Source organism: Homo sapiens, chromosome 6, assembly GCF_000001405.40.
Source record: "Homo sapiens chromosome 6, GRCh38.p14 Primary Assembly".
In the NCBI taxonomy this organism is placed as follows: Eukaryota; Metazoa; Chordata; class Mammalia; order Primates; family Hominidae; genus Homo; species Homo sapiens.
Window position 1 is genome coordinate 4,918,961 of NC_000006.12, and position 16,257 is coordinate 4,935,217.

General features: G+C 42.1%; 1 protein-coding gene across 8 annotated transcripts in view, besides 6 other annotated features; it reads left to right on the plus strand.

Annotated features, from left to right (window-relative positions):
* CDYL (chromodomain Y like) overlaps positions 1-16,257 on the plus strand; it is a 249,407-nt gene that overhangs the window by 212,823 nt on the left and 20,327 nt on the right. The window lies entirely within an intron of this gene.
* Positions 3,116-3,342: a silencer, noted in NCBI's record as "fragment chr6:4922310-4922536 (GRCh37/hg19 assembly coordinates)". NCBI's record gives its function as "represses an EF-1alpha promoter that drives an FKBP-Casp9 reporter gene in an ReSE screen in phorbol 12-myristate 13-acetate-treated (for megakaryocytic differentiation) K562 erythroleukemia cells {active_cell/tissue: K562(+PMA)}" and the evidence as "EXISTENCE:reporter gene assay evidence [ECO:0000049][PMID:32094911]".
* Positions 3,329-3,840: an enhancer, noted in NCBI's record as "H3K4me1 hESC enhancer chr6:4922523-4923034 (GRCh37/hg19 assembly coordinates)". NCBI's record gives its function as "activates a minimal SCP1, AML or CMV promoter by ChIP-STARR-seq in naive H9 embryonic stem cells {active_cell/tissue: H9 hESC(naive)}" and the evidence as "EXISTENCE:reporter gene assay evidence [ECO:0000049][PMID:30033119]".
* Positions 3,841-4,352: an enhancer, noted in NCBI's record as "H3K4me1 hESC enhancer chr6:4923035-4923546 (GRCh37/hg19 assembly coordinates)". NCBI's record gives its function as "activates a minimal SCP1, AML or CMV promoter by ChIP-STARR-seq in naive H9 embryonic stem cells {active_cell/tissue: H9 hESC(naive)}" and the evidence as "EXISTENCE:reporter gene assay evidence [ECO:0000049][PMID:30033119]".
* Positions 5,652-6,420: an enhancer, noted in NCBI's record as "H3K27ac-H3K4me1 hESC enhancer chr6:4924846-4925614 (GRCh37/hg19 assembly coordinates)". NCBI's record gives its function as "activates a minimal SCP1, AML or CMV promoter by ChIP-STARR-seq in naive H9 embryonic stem cells {active_cell/tissue: H9 hESC(naive)}" and the evidence as "EXISTENCE:reporter gene assay evidence [ECO:0000049][PMID:30033119]".
* Positions 6,421-7,189: an enhancer, noted in NCBI's record as "OCT4-NANOG-H3K27ac-H3K4me1 hESC enhancer chr6:4925615-4926383 (GRCh37/hg19 assembly coordinates)". NCBI's record gives its function as "activates a minimal SCP1, AML or CMV promoter by ChIP-STARR-seq in naive and primed H9 embryonic stem cells {active_cell/tissue: H9 hESC(naive and primed)}" and the evidence as "EXISTENCE:reporter gene assay evidence [ECO:0000049][PMID:30033119]".
* Positions 13,177-13,895: an enhancer, noted in NCBI's record as "H3K27ac hESC enhancer chr6:4932371-4933089 (GRCh37/hg19 assembly coordinates)". NCBI's record gives its function as "activates a minimal SCP1, AML or CMV promoter by ChIP-STARR-seq in naive H9 embryonic stem cells {active_cell/tissue: H9 hESC(naive)}" and the evidence as "EXISTENCE:reporter gene assay evidence [ECO:0000049][PMID:30033119]".

A 16,257-nucleotide genomic window follows, 5' to 3' on the forward strand; every position in this document is an offset into this window, starting at 1 on the left:
AATCTATAAGTATGGGCCTTTATACTACAGAACCTTCAGACGTGGGCAAAGACACTTGACTGTCTCTAGTTGAAACCTGCGCTAACTGTATAGTTTTGCATAGTTTATGGTGATATTGCTAATTAGAGTGTTTTGTTCCAGAAGACCGGAACAAAACAAGTTCAAGTTCTTTTCGTTATCCTACTGTCAGTCATTCAGCAAAATGAGTGTCTTTAAGAGTGAGGCTCCTGCACAGAACCAGAGGCACAAGCTTGATGAGGCCTGGATCCTACACTGGGTACATGTGTGGCCTGTGTGTATACATTAAAACTGCAAGGCTGGCTGGCATACAGCAGTTCCAGGATATAAAAAAAAAAAGAAGTAAGAGTTTGTGAAGGTATTGTCTCTAAGCTAAGATAGCCTCAAAATTGGCTAGAGATTCTTGCACAATTTATCATTGATAATACAGGTTAAATAACCCTGTCTGAAATGCTTGGGACCAGAAGTGTTTCAGATTTCACATTTGTCAGATTTTGGAATATTTGCATTATACTTACCAGTTGAGCATCTCAAATCAGAAATCCACGATGAGCATTTCCGTTGAGTGTTACATTGGTGAAAAGTTTCAGCTTTTGGAGCATTATTCAAAAAAATTCTTCGAGTTTTCAGGTTAGAGTTACTAACCTCTCTCCAACATGTAAAGGATTTTACCTCCTTGTATCCCTGTTTCTCCATCCCAGGAGAACTAAAGTGAAGACATTTAACAAGGAAATAGAAGTAATCACAGTCCATGATTTTAATCTTTTCCAATAGTTTTATTATAATTACTAATTAAACACATTCTAGATAATTTAGGAAACTATTAAATATAGCTTCAAAAAATTAAAATGACCACATGATGCAGCGGTTCTATTTCTAGGTATATACCCAAAGAATTGAAAGCCGGGTGGTGAAGAAATCTTTGTACCCCTATGTTAACATCATCAATAGCTAAAAGGTGGAAGCAACCCAAGTGTCTATCATCAGCTGAATAAATAGACAAAATGTGGCCTATCCGCAGAATGGAATATGAATCAGCCTTAAAAAGCATGGAGATTCTCACACATGCTGCAATATGGATGAACCTTGCGGACATGGTGCTCGGTGACATAAGGCCATCTAAAAAGGATAAATAACTAAACAGTTCCACTTACAAGAGGTACCTAGAGTAAACGAGAGTGGTGCTTTACCAGGGCTTGGGGCGTGGGAGTGGAAAGTTGGTATTTAGTTGGAGTCTGGGGAGACGAAAAGTTCTGGAGATGCATGGTGGTGATGGTTGCACAATAGCGTGAATGTGCTTAATGCCATCAAACTGCACACTTAAAAGTGGTAAATTGTATGCTCTGTGCCTTGTGTCACAATAAAAAATGCTCTAGATTCCATTTGCTAATATGTAGGACTTGTGAAAAATATGCATATACAATATATATTATGGCACCACTGGACTATAATTATTTAAAGACAAAGTCCATAGGTGTCCCCAGTGAGACGGGACTCTGCTGCCAAGCCTCCGGCGGGTCATGCAAACAGTGGAGGGCGCCGTTCCTGGAACAGCAGTGCCCCAGCAGCTTTAAGCAGTAGGAGGGATAAAAGCAGGAGTGGTTAAAGTGAAATGGCAGAGCTCATTAATCAAATTCGTTCAGTTTTATTGATTGATTGAGATGGAGTCTCGCTCTGTCGCCCAGGCTGGAGTGTACTGGTGTGATCTCGGCTCACTGCAACCTCTGCCTCCCAGGTTCAAGTGATTCTCCTGCCTCCGCCTCTGGAGGTGGGATTACAGTCACGCGCCACCACATGCAGCTAATTTTTGCATTTTTAGCAGAGACGGGATTTCATCATGTTGGCCAGACTGGTCTCAGACTCCTGACCTCAAGTGATCCACCCATCTCGGCCTCCTAAAGTGCTGGGATTAGAGGCGTCAGCCACTGCACCCAGCCAAATTTGTTCAGTTTTAAATTGCATGTGTGTGTTTGTATGTATGTGTGGCTTCTCAGTAACTGCACCAGCATGATACATCTGTGTGTGTGTGTGTGTGTATGTGTGGCTTCTTAGTAATTCCATCAGCATGATACATCCCTGAGCCATTCCTCTGGAAAATGGTGGTCTTCAATCCAGCTGTAGGCATGGCAAGAAGGGAAGGTCAGTTTCAGCTTCAGGGTAGGTGGGTAGATAGATAAATAGGACAGAGATGGGTGTGTTTTAAGCACAGGGCAGGAAGCACCAACATAGGTGCCTAGTGCGTCACTTTCCACATTTTCCCTCCACAGGACATGGAATACTAGTGACTAAGCCTCGTTTTCTCTCTCTGCCCAAGTAACTGAAGCTCACCACATGGTGGCCCAGCACCGGCCTTCTCCCCATTTGTGAAAACCAGTCCACTTGCCCTTCCCGTAGGTTGATGCCAGAAGTAACAAGAGGACTCTAGTTCGAAGTCCTTAACATTTAATAAACAAGAAGACATATTGGGGAGTTACAACAGCTCTTGATCTTTTTATGTTTTATTTTTTCTCCTTAAGCTGGCTCGGAACACATTTTCTGAGCCCTGGAAGATCTTTCTCAGCCCCCACTTCCTAGGCTCAGCTTTTTGTTATTCCTCGTAGGTGGGTGAGCTGTAGACTTCCTTGTGCCCTTTCCAATGCCTCCACCTTTGTGTCATATGCTTTTTAACTTGGTATTTAACCCTTCAAAGGCTGGCTGCAGTCTGTTTGTTTCCATCCTGGCTTTTCATGGTAAACCTTCATCATCCCCTGAGTATGTAGTGTATTTGGCCACCTCCGTTTCTTTGCTAATGGCATAGTACCTCGACATGCCATATACTTTTTTTTTTTAACCAATTACATTCAAAAAATACTTATTGAGCACCAACTGCATGCAAAGCACTTGAGAGTCAGTTAGAATCCCAACTCCATAAAGTCTTCACCAGCATTCCCTGGGAATATTCCTAACCTCCGTGGAGAGGTTTCTTGTCAGTAACCACTCATTTTTCCACCACTTTTCTTTTGCTAGTTCGTTTTTCACGTAGGTACCGTTCCTGCCTCTGTGGTGGCAGCTGGGTATGACGGAGGCTGCATTTGTGCAGCCTCATGGGCCTGAATTTGGTATGAGCTTAGCACCCCTCACCTGCTCAGTGACCTTGGGCAGGCGAGGTGGTTAGGCATCCTGGACCTGAAGTTTTCATCTTCAGGGGATTATGGCTTGGGGGTTGGGTGAGACACCTGGTACTGCCCGGCCAGCAGTGATGGGTCCACAGATGCTGGTTGCCGACCCGTTGCCTCAGTATCTGTGTCTCTGACCTCCTGTGACCACCTTGCTCTGAAAAGCCAGTATGATCGTTCACTGGGATTTCCCCTCTTGCTTTTGGTGAAGAATAAAACAAAGTTGGAAAGAGTTATCAATGCATGGGCAATGAATCCTGAGGACAGATGATTAATTAATATGTGAACATTTTTATCTTCCTGAATGATATTGTTAAAAAAGTATAAATACAAGCAGTACAAGAACCAGCAGTTAAAGTGTGTCTACATTGGAGACCATTTCACTGTGAATGGGTGAGCGTGTTTCCTTGGGTGCAGCTTTAACGAGCAGCACGGCGTAATCCAGGTGGTGCCCACCAGTACGTGCTTCAGAGCTCCCTGCTGGTTGCCAGATCCTGAGCCGCCTGCTTCCCCTTTTATCATTGTTATTTATCTGTGTTAATTACCTGGACTTGAACAGTCCTTCCTCTGATTTATGGGAATTGTTACTGCTGCTGCAATCTCAGTGTTCTGATCTGAACCATTTCCTTTGAGTTACCCTGAATATCCTGTTTTGGGCCTCGAATGTGCAACATCAGCAATGGACACCAAACACACCGACCTGCAGCGGGTGCCCAGCCTCGGGGTGCGTCTGATCACACACCACGGGGCCTGAGCTCCACCCAGAGTCCTCGGGTGCCTGCAAGTGTGGCCCAGGGAGCTTTTTTCCCCCCTTTTATTTTTTACTATTTTTACTCAACACTTATGTACATATTACAATTATTATGTACAATATAATTTGATATATATGTGCAATATGTAATGACCAAATCCATCACTTCAGACATTTATCATTTCTTTATTTTGGTAACATTTAAAATCTGCTCTATTTGAAAATATACAATAAATTATTGCTAATTTTAGTCACTCTGCAGTGCCATACGACACTCAGAACTTATTCCTCCGGTCTAGCTTTAATTTTATATCTGTTAACTGACCTTTGACTCTTCTCCCCCCACCCACTACTTCCCAGCCTCTAGTAACCACTGTTTTACTCCCTGTGAGGTCAACTTTTTAGCTTCCACATGTGAGTGAGATCATGCAGTATTTGTCTTAATGTGCCTGGCTTCGTTCACTTAGCATGATGTCCTCCAGGTTCACCCATGTTGACCCAAATAACAGGATTTCACTCTTTTTTTAAGGCTGAATAATACTCCATTGTGTGTATATACCAACATTTTCTTTATCCATTCATTTGTTGATGGGCACTTAGGTTGGTTTCATATCTTGGCTATTGTGAATACTGCTGCAATAAACATGGGAGTGCAGATGCCTCTTTGACGTGCTGATTTCATTTTCTTTGGATAAATATCTAGTCAAGTGATTGCCGGATCATATGGTAGATTTATTTTTGAAGAAACCTGCATACTCTTTTCCATAATGACTGTACTAATTTACATTCCTACTGACAGTGGATAAGAAAGAGTTCCTCTTCTAACCCGGTGAAACCCCGTCTCTACTAAAAAATATTTAAAAAAAATTAGCCAGGCATGGTGGCGGGCGCCTGTAGTCCCAGCTACTCGGGAGGCTGAAGCAGGAGAATGGCGTGAACCCGGGAGGCGGAGCTTGCAGTGAGCCGAGGTCGCGCCACTGCACTCCAGCCTGGGTGACAGAGTGAGACTCCGTCTCAAAAAAAAAAAAAAAAATCAAAAAAAAAAAAGAGTTCCCCTTTCTCCAAGGAGCATTTTTTAGAAGTCCCCTGGCAATCCCGTTGCAGAGTCAGGGTGAGAACCCCTGCTGTCATGTGGCACATTGCACTTGCCACATCTAATACAACATTATTGTGTGTCTCTAGGTTCACAATTCTGTGGTTTAATCAGGCTAGTCTTATTTAGTCTTAGGAAAATATAATTAATTATCTAGAGTTGATTTAAAGGTACATTATCTCATTAATTGGTACTTTTATCTCAAAATAGTTATTTTTCTTTTTAAAGTCCCCTCACTGCTTTTGGCACTTAATTTTTTGGAGTTGATTCTCTGTGAAAAGTTAGCTATGAAACAGAATCATTTTAATTGCAGGAACCTTAGCTTACGTTCTTCTCTCTGTTGATTTTCAGAATGCTCCCTAAGCCTGTGGAGTCTCAGGTATTTAATGTTCTCATTTCGTGGTTTGCCGTTCACCTGCCCTTCTTTATATTTCTAGCATTCTCAAGTTATTTAGCAGTTTCCAGGAATTATTTGTATGTTTCATGGACTAAAATGCCTTTTACACCTCCTCTGTTCTCAGGTTTTTCTTTTGCTTTTAAAGTGAGTTTAAAGCATTCTCTGAATGTGGTCTTTGGTAGTAAGCATTTCCATCCTCACTCCCCATTGAGCTCTTGCTGGTTGGTTTTTATGACATCTTGAAGCATATCATTAAGTTGGATGGTTTTATTTTTAGGGCCAGGTCTAAAACATGGCTGTGAATAAATTTTTTCTCGAGTCAACCAAAAAATGAACGACTTCGATACTGAGCAGTTGAAAGAAAACTTACAGTGAGTTCTGCTATAATGTGATATATGTGATCCTAAAAATCGCCACACTGCAAAATCATGCAATAAAAGCTACAGGGCTTATGGGGGAAATGAGATTAGAGGTACAGCCCACAAAGACTTTGTCATGGACACATTAACCTAATAGAAACAGTAGCACAATTTCAAGTGTCAAATAGTTAAGAAAAGCAAGTACTACAATAAATACGATACATTATCTTGAAAAAGGACAGCAGAAATTTGCCTGTAGAAGTGGGCCTTGGAAGGGTTGCAGCATGTGGCTACTGCGAAGCAATAGAAGGACTGCAATCTGAAACCATGCAGAAAGTTGTAATACCTGATGTGGGTGGGTGGCTGTTTGAGTGTGTTTTGTGTGTGTTTTGTGTATTCCTGCCTAGCCAGTTTCAGCTGGGTGCGGTTGTGCATTCACTGACTTTCTCCAGACAATTGTGCATAAATGTGTGACATTCGCAGTATACTCAGATCGTTCCTAATGTGTCACTTGTTTTTACAACAAAACATGATTGAAGTCCTGATGGTATATCAATGTCTTTCTTAGAGATGGCTAAGAATGAGCACATTTAGTGAACTATATATTGAATGGTTTATACCAGCTTGTATAGATTTGTTATGCGTCTGTCCTCATTACAGGAGCTATTCTTTTTTCTTTTTTTTTTTTTTTTTTTTGAGACAGAATCTCACTCTGTCGCCCAGGCTGGAGTGCAGTGGCACGATCTCGGCTCACTGCAAGCTCCGCCTCCCAGGTTCACTCATGCCATTCTCCTGCCTCAGCCTCCCGAGTAGCTGGGACTACAGGCACCCGCCACCACACTCGGCTAATTTTTTTGTATTTTTAGTAGAGGCGGGGTTTCACCGTGTCAGCCAGGATGGTCTCGATCTCCTGCCCTCGTGATCCGCCCACCTCGGCCTCCTAAAGTGCTGGGAACAGGGTGAAGAGTAGACTGTCCTCCAGCTGGGAGAGTAGGCATGGATGAGTAGGTGAGAGTGGACGAGTCCAGGACAGAGCCAGCTTCTGAGCCTAGGAGGTCGGGCGCATATCCTTGCTTTTGTTCACTGTGCCCTGCCTGTGGTTTGCATGTGAGAACACACATCTCTGTGAATAAGAATAGCCCGGCAGGAGCTATTCTTAGACTGATTCTAGCTCATCGTTTTCCCCTGTACTAGAACTATGCGCTTCATGTAGATTTATAACATACAACTAGTTAGGTAGATTTCATTCATTATTCTTTTCAAAAATGTCTTAGCCTATCTCCCTGCTAAATCCTAACCACCGAGTTTTTTATTGGAAGTCTACTAGAATTAGACTAGCCTTTAACTCGGAGACCCCTATGGATAGAGAACTGGAAGTGAAGGAGTTAGAGCAAAGACACTTTTACAATTATTTGTAAAGGATTTATTTAACACATTATGAAGAAAAGAGGTATTGATGTTTAAAGCCTGCATTTACTTCCATGTTCATATGAAACATGGTTCTTCAAGAAAATTTGCAGATTATGTAATCTGAATAAAATTATAAGGTTTTGTATAGGTGAATAGGATTACGTTCAATATATGTAAATAACAATATTTTGAAATATTAAACTCCATAAACGGAGAGCTATTAATTCTGTAGATGCTATAGTCCTTGCTTTTTAACTTCAGACCAAAGACAACAGTGGTCATTAATATCCAAGATGGTTAAAAACAGTTTTTGAACTCTTTTTGCAGTTGAGACCCTTCTGCCTTGAAAACATTAAAACTTGCTAACTCTTGATTAGACAATTCTAAACTAAAATATAATCGGAGAAATACCAGTTAATCTTTAGCTAGTGAAGAATAATATCCCAGACATTTTTGTCTGGATTTTGGATGCTGTAGTGTAGTTTCAAGTGGTTTCTTGATTATGTCAAATATATTGTAAAAATTCACAAAATAGCAAGAGGATAAGAATTATTCTATGTCTCTCTCACCAATAAAGAGCCAATATTAACATTTCTATAATTTACATTCCTAATAAACTCACATGGAAACATTGTTGATATCTGTCTGTCCACATACCCCTTCTGTTATCTTTCATTTTTATTTTTTTCATGTATGATTTTGGGGATGGGCAGTGGAAGGACACAAGCGTGGGAATCAGATCTGCAGGTACCACACACCTTTCAGGTGTGCTGCAGGGATTTGAATCCGATTTTATGCTTAGGAGCTCAGCATGTGTAAGGTGTGATGCAAATGGCAGCTGCTGTGATGCACTTATTGACCCGTATTTTTAAAAATCTTCAGAAGCATAATAGCTATATAATATCGTGTCAGGTGCACGTGTGCCATAATTAATTTCACTGTTTCCTTACTACTAGGCATGAAGTTTAGGGCTTTTGGCAATTTTTCCATTTTAAAAGTAAAGCTGTTTGAATACCTTTTGTGTGTAAAAACATATCCTCATGTACTTTCTGTTTTAGGAGTAAAATTCTAAAGGTAGAATTATAAGGGCAGGGGTTGATTGCCACATCTTACAAAATTGCTTTCTAGGAATGTACCGATTTATGTATATGTGCCCTTCGCTAGCCCTAAATTGCCATATTTTAAAGTTTTCTAATCTGAAGGTAGAAAGAACGTCTTTTTTTTTTAACTCAGATCAATTTTTTATGTTTTAGTGTTTTCATTCCATCATTCGAATTTACTGTACGTGTGTGTGTGTGTGTGTGTGTGTGTGTGTGTCTTTTGAGACGGAGTCTCACTCTGTTGCCCAAGCTGGAGTGCAGTGGTGTGATCTCAGCTCACTGCTGCCTCAGCCTCCTGAGTAGCTGGGACTACAGGCATGCGCCACCACACCCGACTAATTTTTGCATTTTTAGTAGAAACAGGGTTTCACCATGTTGACCAGGCTAGTCTCAAACTCCTGACCTGAAGTGATCCACCTGCCTTGGCCTCCTACAGTGGTGGGATTGATTCCAGGCGTGAGCCAACACACCCAACATTGTGTGTGTGTTTTTACATCTGTTTTATGCTTTGCAGTTATTAGTGTTTTAATGATAATACTAGCTTTTCGTCTGTGAAATTTTCAATTTTTATGTACTAGAATTTTTTAAGCTTTTTCCTTTCCTTTTTATGTTTAAGCTCTTCTCCGTCTAGAAACTTTACATGTTCTATTATGCTTTTTATTAAACAAGACTTTTGCTATTTATTGAATGTTTTATACCAGCTTATTGATTCATGATGCATGTATCCTCATCATAGAAGCTGTTCTTAAACTGATTCTAGCTCATCATTTTCCTCTAGCTCATCATTTTCCCCTGTGCTAGAACTGTGCTTTTCGTGTAGATTTGTAATATACAACTAGTTAGGCATATTTCACTCATTATTCTTTTCAAAAAAATTTTAGCTTGTCTTCCTGCTAAATCTTCACCACCAAGGTTTTAATTGGAAGTCTACTAGAATTCAAATTGGGAAAGAGAAATCACTTTACAGTGCTTGGTGTTCTCCAGAATGGTGGCATCCCACCACACCTTTTGTGTGTGTATGTGTGTGTGTGTGAGGGGGGCTGTCTTTTTATGTTTCTTAGTACAATTTGATGTTTTCTGTTTGTTTATTCCATTTTTTTTAAGTTGTTTATTCCTAATTTTAGTTCAGGATTATGGATGTTTTCTTTTTAATGTGTGTTTATTTTCTAAATAGTTCCCAGAATCTAGAAATGCTGTTGTTTAGTATGTTTTTGCAATTCTTCCCCTTGAACTAAGCTATCTCACAACATCTTAAAATGCCCTTTGACATAAACCGTCAACCATTAGTAAAGTAAGATTGTGCTTCCATGAGTAATGGGTAAAATTGGTACGTGGTTTTGCTCTGTGGCATTTGTGTCTAGTCAGGGTTAAGTTATCTTTGCAAAACAGATTGGATGAATTTTCTTTCTTTTCTCTGTGGTCAGAGGCTATTTGTTACTACACAGCTGTTCCTTAACCTGCATAGCCTATAAACTGTTTTAAGAGGTAATTTGTTAATGATTTTATTTTTTCTCTTTCCTTGCTTTTTTTTCTGTTTCTGCTACATCAAAGATCAGTCTCGAGAATTTATATTTTTCCAAAGAATAGCCATTTTTTTAAGATACTTTAATATATTTGTATAGTATGTACAAAGCGGTTTTTATTCATTTTTGTTAAGTTGGTATGAAAGCAGGGGAGACATTGTTTCAGTGATGAGGCCAAGCAGTTACTACTGTCTACATTTAGTTAATTACACTTAATATGCAGTTGGTGCAGGTTCATTTTTACCCATATATTTACTGGTCTGATACTCTTTATTCCTTTGAATGTATTCAGGCTTCTGTCTGGTATTATTTTCCTTCTGCCTGAAGAACATTTTTTAACATTCCTTACAGTGCAGGCCTGCTGGTACAAACTCTCTCAGCTTTTATCTAGAAATGTGTTTGTTTCTCCTCTGTTTTTGAAGGACATTTATGCTGCATTTGTGCTGTGTATATAGGTTGGCTTTTTTTTTTCTCTTCATACACTTCAAAGGTGCCATTCCATTTTCTTCTGTCTTGTATACTTTCTGAATGTAAGTATTGAGTTGATCTGTTATTCTATCTGTAATCTTTTTGTTCTCATGTTATCAGCAGATGATAATAGGCCTTAGTTTGGGGTTTGTGTGTATTTATCATAGTTAGTATTTTTTAAGCTTCTTGAATCTGTCAGCTTCTGGTTTTTATCAAATATGGAAAACTTTCCACTATTATTTCTGCAAATGTTTTACTTACACACACACACACACACACACACACACACACATACATACACACCCCTTCTCTGAGACTCAAATTACACATATGCTAGACTGCTTAATATTGTCCTACAGGGCACTCAGGTTCATCGTTTTTTCTGTTTCTTCTCCTGTCTATTGCTGTGCCTTCAGGTTCTCTGATCTTTTTAGTATCTAATTGGTTCAACATATTCAATGAAATTTTTATTCCTAGTCTTTCATTTCTGCATTATGTTCATGTTTTTCTTTAAATGCTTGAGCACATTGAGATTATAACAGTTTTGAAGATGTTCTTTTCTCGTAATACCATCATCTCTCATTTTTAGTCTTTATTAACTGATTTTATCTTAGTCACTGGTCCTATTTTCCCACTTTTTTGCTTATCTAGTAATGGTTGGTTGATGAACATTGTGATTTACATTTTGGGGTGCTGGATTTTGTTGTATGCTTTTTTAAAGTGTTAGATTTGTTCTGGCAGGAAATTGTTAGTTGTATATCAGTTTGATCCTTTCACAGCTTACTTTGAAGCTTTGTTAGTGAAATTTTAAGTATTCTTTATTCTAGAGCTAGATTAGTTCCACTGCTGATATGTGCCTGATCTGGGGTCTCTCTACTGAATGCCTCATGTATTTGATGAAATCTCTGCTCTGGCTGATTAGGACTTCCGGCCCTAGGCAGACTTGAGATTATTCAGTTTATAGGTCTCTGGTAATTGTTCTTTCCTCAAAAGTTGTTCACTGCCCAGCCTTGTGGAATTTCTCCCTGTGCATGCTCAGATTGGTTCAGCAAAGACTCAAAGGGATCCCCTAGGCTCTCTGGAACTTTTTATCTATGTAGCTTCCTCCTTTTCCATATCATGTCTCACAAATTACAGCCTCCTGGGCCTCCCCCAAGTCATCTGTTCTAAGACAGCATTTTTGCCAGCTATGTCTGGGTTTCCCATCCCTGCACCTGCACTGTGGCAGCTGCTTTCGGTGGAAAGGCGGGTGGACTGTTAGGCTCACCATGTTTGTCTCCTTTCACTCTGGGAACATTGCCCTGCACAGCCTGTGGTCCAGTGCCTGCAAACAGTTGTTATGTCTATTTTATTCAGTTTCCTAGCTATCAGTGGCAGGTGAAGAAGTACAGACGCTGTTCTCTTTAGGTGGGAAGAGGGTGTCACAAGTCATTGTTAGAGACTTGCAGTTTTTGAAGCAGTGATATTTAACAGATTTGCCATATGTATTTGAGGATATCCTTTTTGCTCTTGAACATATTAAAAGAAAATCAATTACTGCAAGAGATACTAAAATAGGTTTCTTTCCTAGTCGAATGTTATGTTAATAAATCCTAGGAAAGCCTTGGTACTCTGAATCCAAATCCGTAAGGAACTCTCAGTTCACAGAGGCAACTTGTACTCCCGTGTCAACGATGAGAGTCATCGTTCCAGGGGAGTCGCACTAATTTCCACAGTTTGGGGTGAGGGGGGCGGTTTTTTTCTGAATCTCAGTGTTTACCATTTGTTTAGTCATTAGCAGCTACTTCTGCTCTGAAGTGTGGAGCTTACCATCCCTGGCTTGGGTTGAGGTAATGAGCTGTGTGACACTTGGCCAGTCACTTAGCTACTTGTCTCTAAATTGAGGGATCTGGACTAAAGAGACTTGAAGACCCTTTCCATGAGTTTACTGAGTAAACATGTACTGAGTGTTGTATGCACTGGGGATGGGTGGATAAGACAGGCGAGGACCCTGCTCTTACACAGCTTGGTGGAGTACATCGATGATACTGTAAATAAAAATACAATGAGAAAGAAATAACTTTCATGGGTGCTTTGAAGGAAATAAACCAGGGTGATATGAAGTGCTGATGGCAGGGACCAGCATTAGGATGGGAGGCCCAAGAAGGCTTGTCTGAGATGCTGAAATTTGAGCTGCCGTCCAGATGAGCAGAAGAAACTGGCCATTTGAATTCCAGGTCATAGGCGTTCTAGGCAGAGGGAAGAACACATGCAAAGGTCCTGAGATGGGCACAACCCTGGGTGACATGAGAACCCCGGGTGATGTGAGAACACTGTGGCATGATTGTCTTGAGTAGGGGGCATATGTGATGATCAGGGTCCTAGTCAGTGCTGGCAGCCTGTGACTCCAAGACTCGATCCTGCTGTGAATACTTCTCTACCTAAATAGTGCAAAGTTCAGTGTCACATGCCCTACTCAGATGAGTAACAGGGAGTGCCAGGAATTACATTGGGGTGGGGTGTGGTCGCTGAAGCTCCAACAAGATCACAGAGTCTGAAATGAGCAGGGACCTCACTGGCACGAGGAGCCAACACAGTTTTAACTCAGGAGTCTGAAGGCCAAGTTCAGTAGTCTTGGTCAGCGTGAGCCAAAATGAATCCATTTTTAAATTAGCAGAACCACGGATAGTTCGTAGGGACTATCGCCTCAAAGAAAATGCTGAAGCTGTTTCTGAGACTCACGTATAAAGGCTGCATGGGCTCCATGGCCTAGAAATGTTGCTTCGGTGGAAGGAAGCCACCAGGAAAACTGCTGGGAGAGTTTAAGGAATGTGTGACCTTTACGTAGAGAAAGGAAAGACCCAGTGAAAGCAAGAGCATTCCAGAGGTGGGGAGAGTGGACCTGAAGCCAGCCAGCTTTGCCCTGGTGGGAGGCAGGTTTCTTAGCCATTTGGGCTGCCTTAACAAAATACCATCAACTGGGTGGCTTGTAAATACACAACAGAATTATTGTGTTAATTATCCTCATAATTCTGGAGAGAACCCTAAGATCAGGGTGCCAGCAGGTTCAGGGTCTGCTGAGGGCTCACTTCCTGGTTCACAAATAGCACCTTTCTGCAGCATCATCACAGGGCAGAAGAGCCAGGGGGTGTCGGCCCTCATTTATAAGGGCACTCATCCCATTCATGAGGGCCCCACCCCCATGACCTAATCACCCCCCAAAGGCCCCACCTCCTCAGACCATCACCTTGTGGGTGAGGATTTCCCCACGGGAATTTGGGTGAGACACAGGCATTTGGGCCATGGCACCAGGCCTTCCCTGTGTTGCCAGGATGCTGCTTTTTGTGCTTGGATATAGCAGCAATTGAAAAATCCAGCTCAGGTTGAGGAACTCTTAAAGACCCAGGAGCTCTCACTTGGCATTACCAGCTGCTGGCATGTGTAGTCTGAAGGAACCCCCTTCTTAGAATGCCCAGAGTCTCCACGTCTGTCTCCTGTCCCAACATGCCAGCACCGTGTCACGTAGCCTCTGCCTGCATCTGCACAGCATTGTTTCTGGTGTGGTCTCTTTTTAGGCAGGGAAATCATTGCTGTCGGCTGTCACCTAAGTGGCAATGTCATCTCACCTGCACTTTTAACAACTGCTGTGCCCACGTGTGTTTTTATTGATCGATTTTTAGTTGTCTTTCATTGTGTCCTGTGGTCTGGCTTCCACTCTTCACGCCATAGTGAAGCATTGCCCATGCTTACGAGTGGCCTCTCATTTCTCCCTGCGTCGCCTCTTCTGCATTCTCCTCCACCTCTGTAACACCTGCCCCTGCAGACACATCCTCACTGCTGTGGCCTGCTCTCCTTCCTTTGAGGAAACCAGTTATTATTGCCTTCCTGCTTCTCTGCTGCCTCCTGGCTCTGCCTGCGCCCCTCCCCAGCACTTCCCAGCTGGCTTCAGCAGGCTCACTCTCTGTCTCAGTCTTCCCCTGGGAGCTCATACTGTCAGTTCAGCCATTTCTGGCACCAACCCCAAGTACCTCTCTCCAACCCTGACTTCCCTCCCCTGATCTAGATGTGCACTTTGGGCTATGCACATCTCCACCTGGATGCTCACCCTGGAGGAGCAAGCATCTCTCCCTCGCCTCCTCCCTCAGCAACTCCAGGCTGCCCTGTGGAAGCCCCTCTTCCGCTCCCCCAGGCTCACATGTTTAGAGTCATCCAGCATCCATTTCTCTAGACTCAGAAGGTTCCTGGCCATGTGGACTCTGGGTCCCAGTTGAATGGGTTGAAGAATGATGGACAGAGGGAGAGGTGAAGACAGCAAGTGCAGGCAGGTGAGGCCGTGATGGGACTGAGACTGGAGGAACAGATTAGAGAGGGTTCCTGAGGGGAGACGAGATTGTCAAACGTTTTTAAACAAAGATGGGAGAAGGATCTGGTAGGGTAGAGGATGGAGGTTAAAAGAAAAAGTCTTTCCTGAGTCCCTCAGAAGGACTCAGCAACACCTTTGCTGACTGGTAACATCCGACCCAGTGGTCTCCAGTTAGAACTACTCCAGGCTACAAGTCCTTTGGAAGCTTGTAGAGATTTGACAGCACTGGGATGACAGAGGTCAGGATTATGTGTCACTGTGTTGTTGGTCATATCGACAAGTCACTGAATAGTAGTGCGTATTGCAGTGTGAACTGGAAAATGAATTACAGTGCATCCCTACCTTGGGCCTCGCCTGCCACGCAGCCTTAGGAAAGAACAGGAAGCTATGTTCTGATAGAGGAGCCATTCTAAGATATTGTGGAAGGAATAACCATGAGATGTAACAATGTGTATATCTTATATATGTACAAGCAAGACAACAATGTATAAGATACAGCATCTTATACTACATCTAGTGTACTGCCATCTGTGCTTTTAAAAGCCAGGGTGGTGGAGAAGTCTGTATTGATGTTTTCTTGTATATCCATGGAGATACTCTGGAGGGGCCCCTGAGAACCCAGCCCAAGTGGCTAAGAGGGCAGGGGGATCCTGTGTAAACAGGATCAGGCTGTGGGGGGCTTTCACCTTAATATCTTTTATATTCTTAGGTTTTTGAACCATATGTATGTATTATAACCTCTTTAAATTTTTCAAAAATATAATTAAAAAAAAACCTCTAGCAATTAAAATATTATTTCCACCAGTTGAATGAAAGTCAGGTTGTTTTGCCAGGGAGGTTATTTGGCTCCTCTGAAATGTCCATTCATGAGTTTTCTGGTGGCTTTGGCTTATTCTCTTTCACTTTGGAGGAAATATTTCTGATTCATAATTCTTCATGCTCCGCCCTCAGAGAACTTCTGCCATTGCTAATGCTACTAGTAAAGTCTGATCTAGTTTTCTTACATTTCATTCCTTTTTTCCCCATCCACTCTACATTCATCACCACATTGGATCATATTTGGACAATTCATACAGACAGGAGGATAATTATTTGCATTCTTAACCAGGCACAGTGGTTCATGCCTGTACATCTCAGCTGCTTGAGAGGCCAAGGTAGGAGGATCACTTGAGGCCAGGAGTTTGAGACCAGCCTGAGCAACATAGCAAGACCCCATCTCAAGACCCTGGCAAAACACAGTTGCTGCTGTTGAGCTGTGACATACGAGGGAACGTTGGCAGGATGCTTTATGTGGTGGGGGAGAGGAGAGCTATCTTCAGCTGCTTAACAGGGCTGTTTGAAAAAGGAGTGGAACTGGAACAAGTAGATGGACTTTCTGATAGTCCCTCCCAGGGCAGCTAGAAACAACTCCTGAGTGTCCCACAGGGGTGGTGGTCTGAAGTGGTGGCTGCCACACAGCTCTATGACCCGCAGAGAAGGCTGGCTGCATCCACGTGTCTATCCAGTTTATCTTGCATTTGGAAAAAGAAGTTTCGACTAGATGGCCTTGACTCTAATAATAAGATGTTTTCTTGATTATTTTCCTTTTTTCTTTCGGCTTCTCAAACCTGGAATAGATACTCTCCATGAGACCCATTCTGT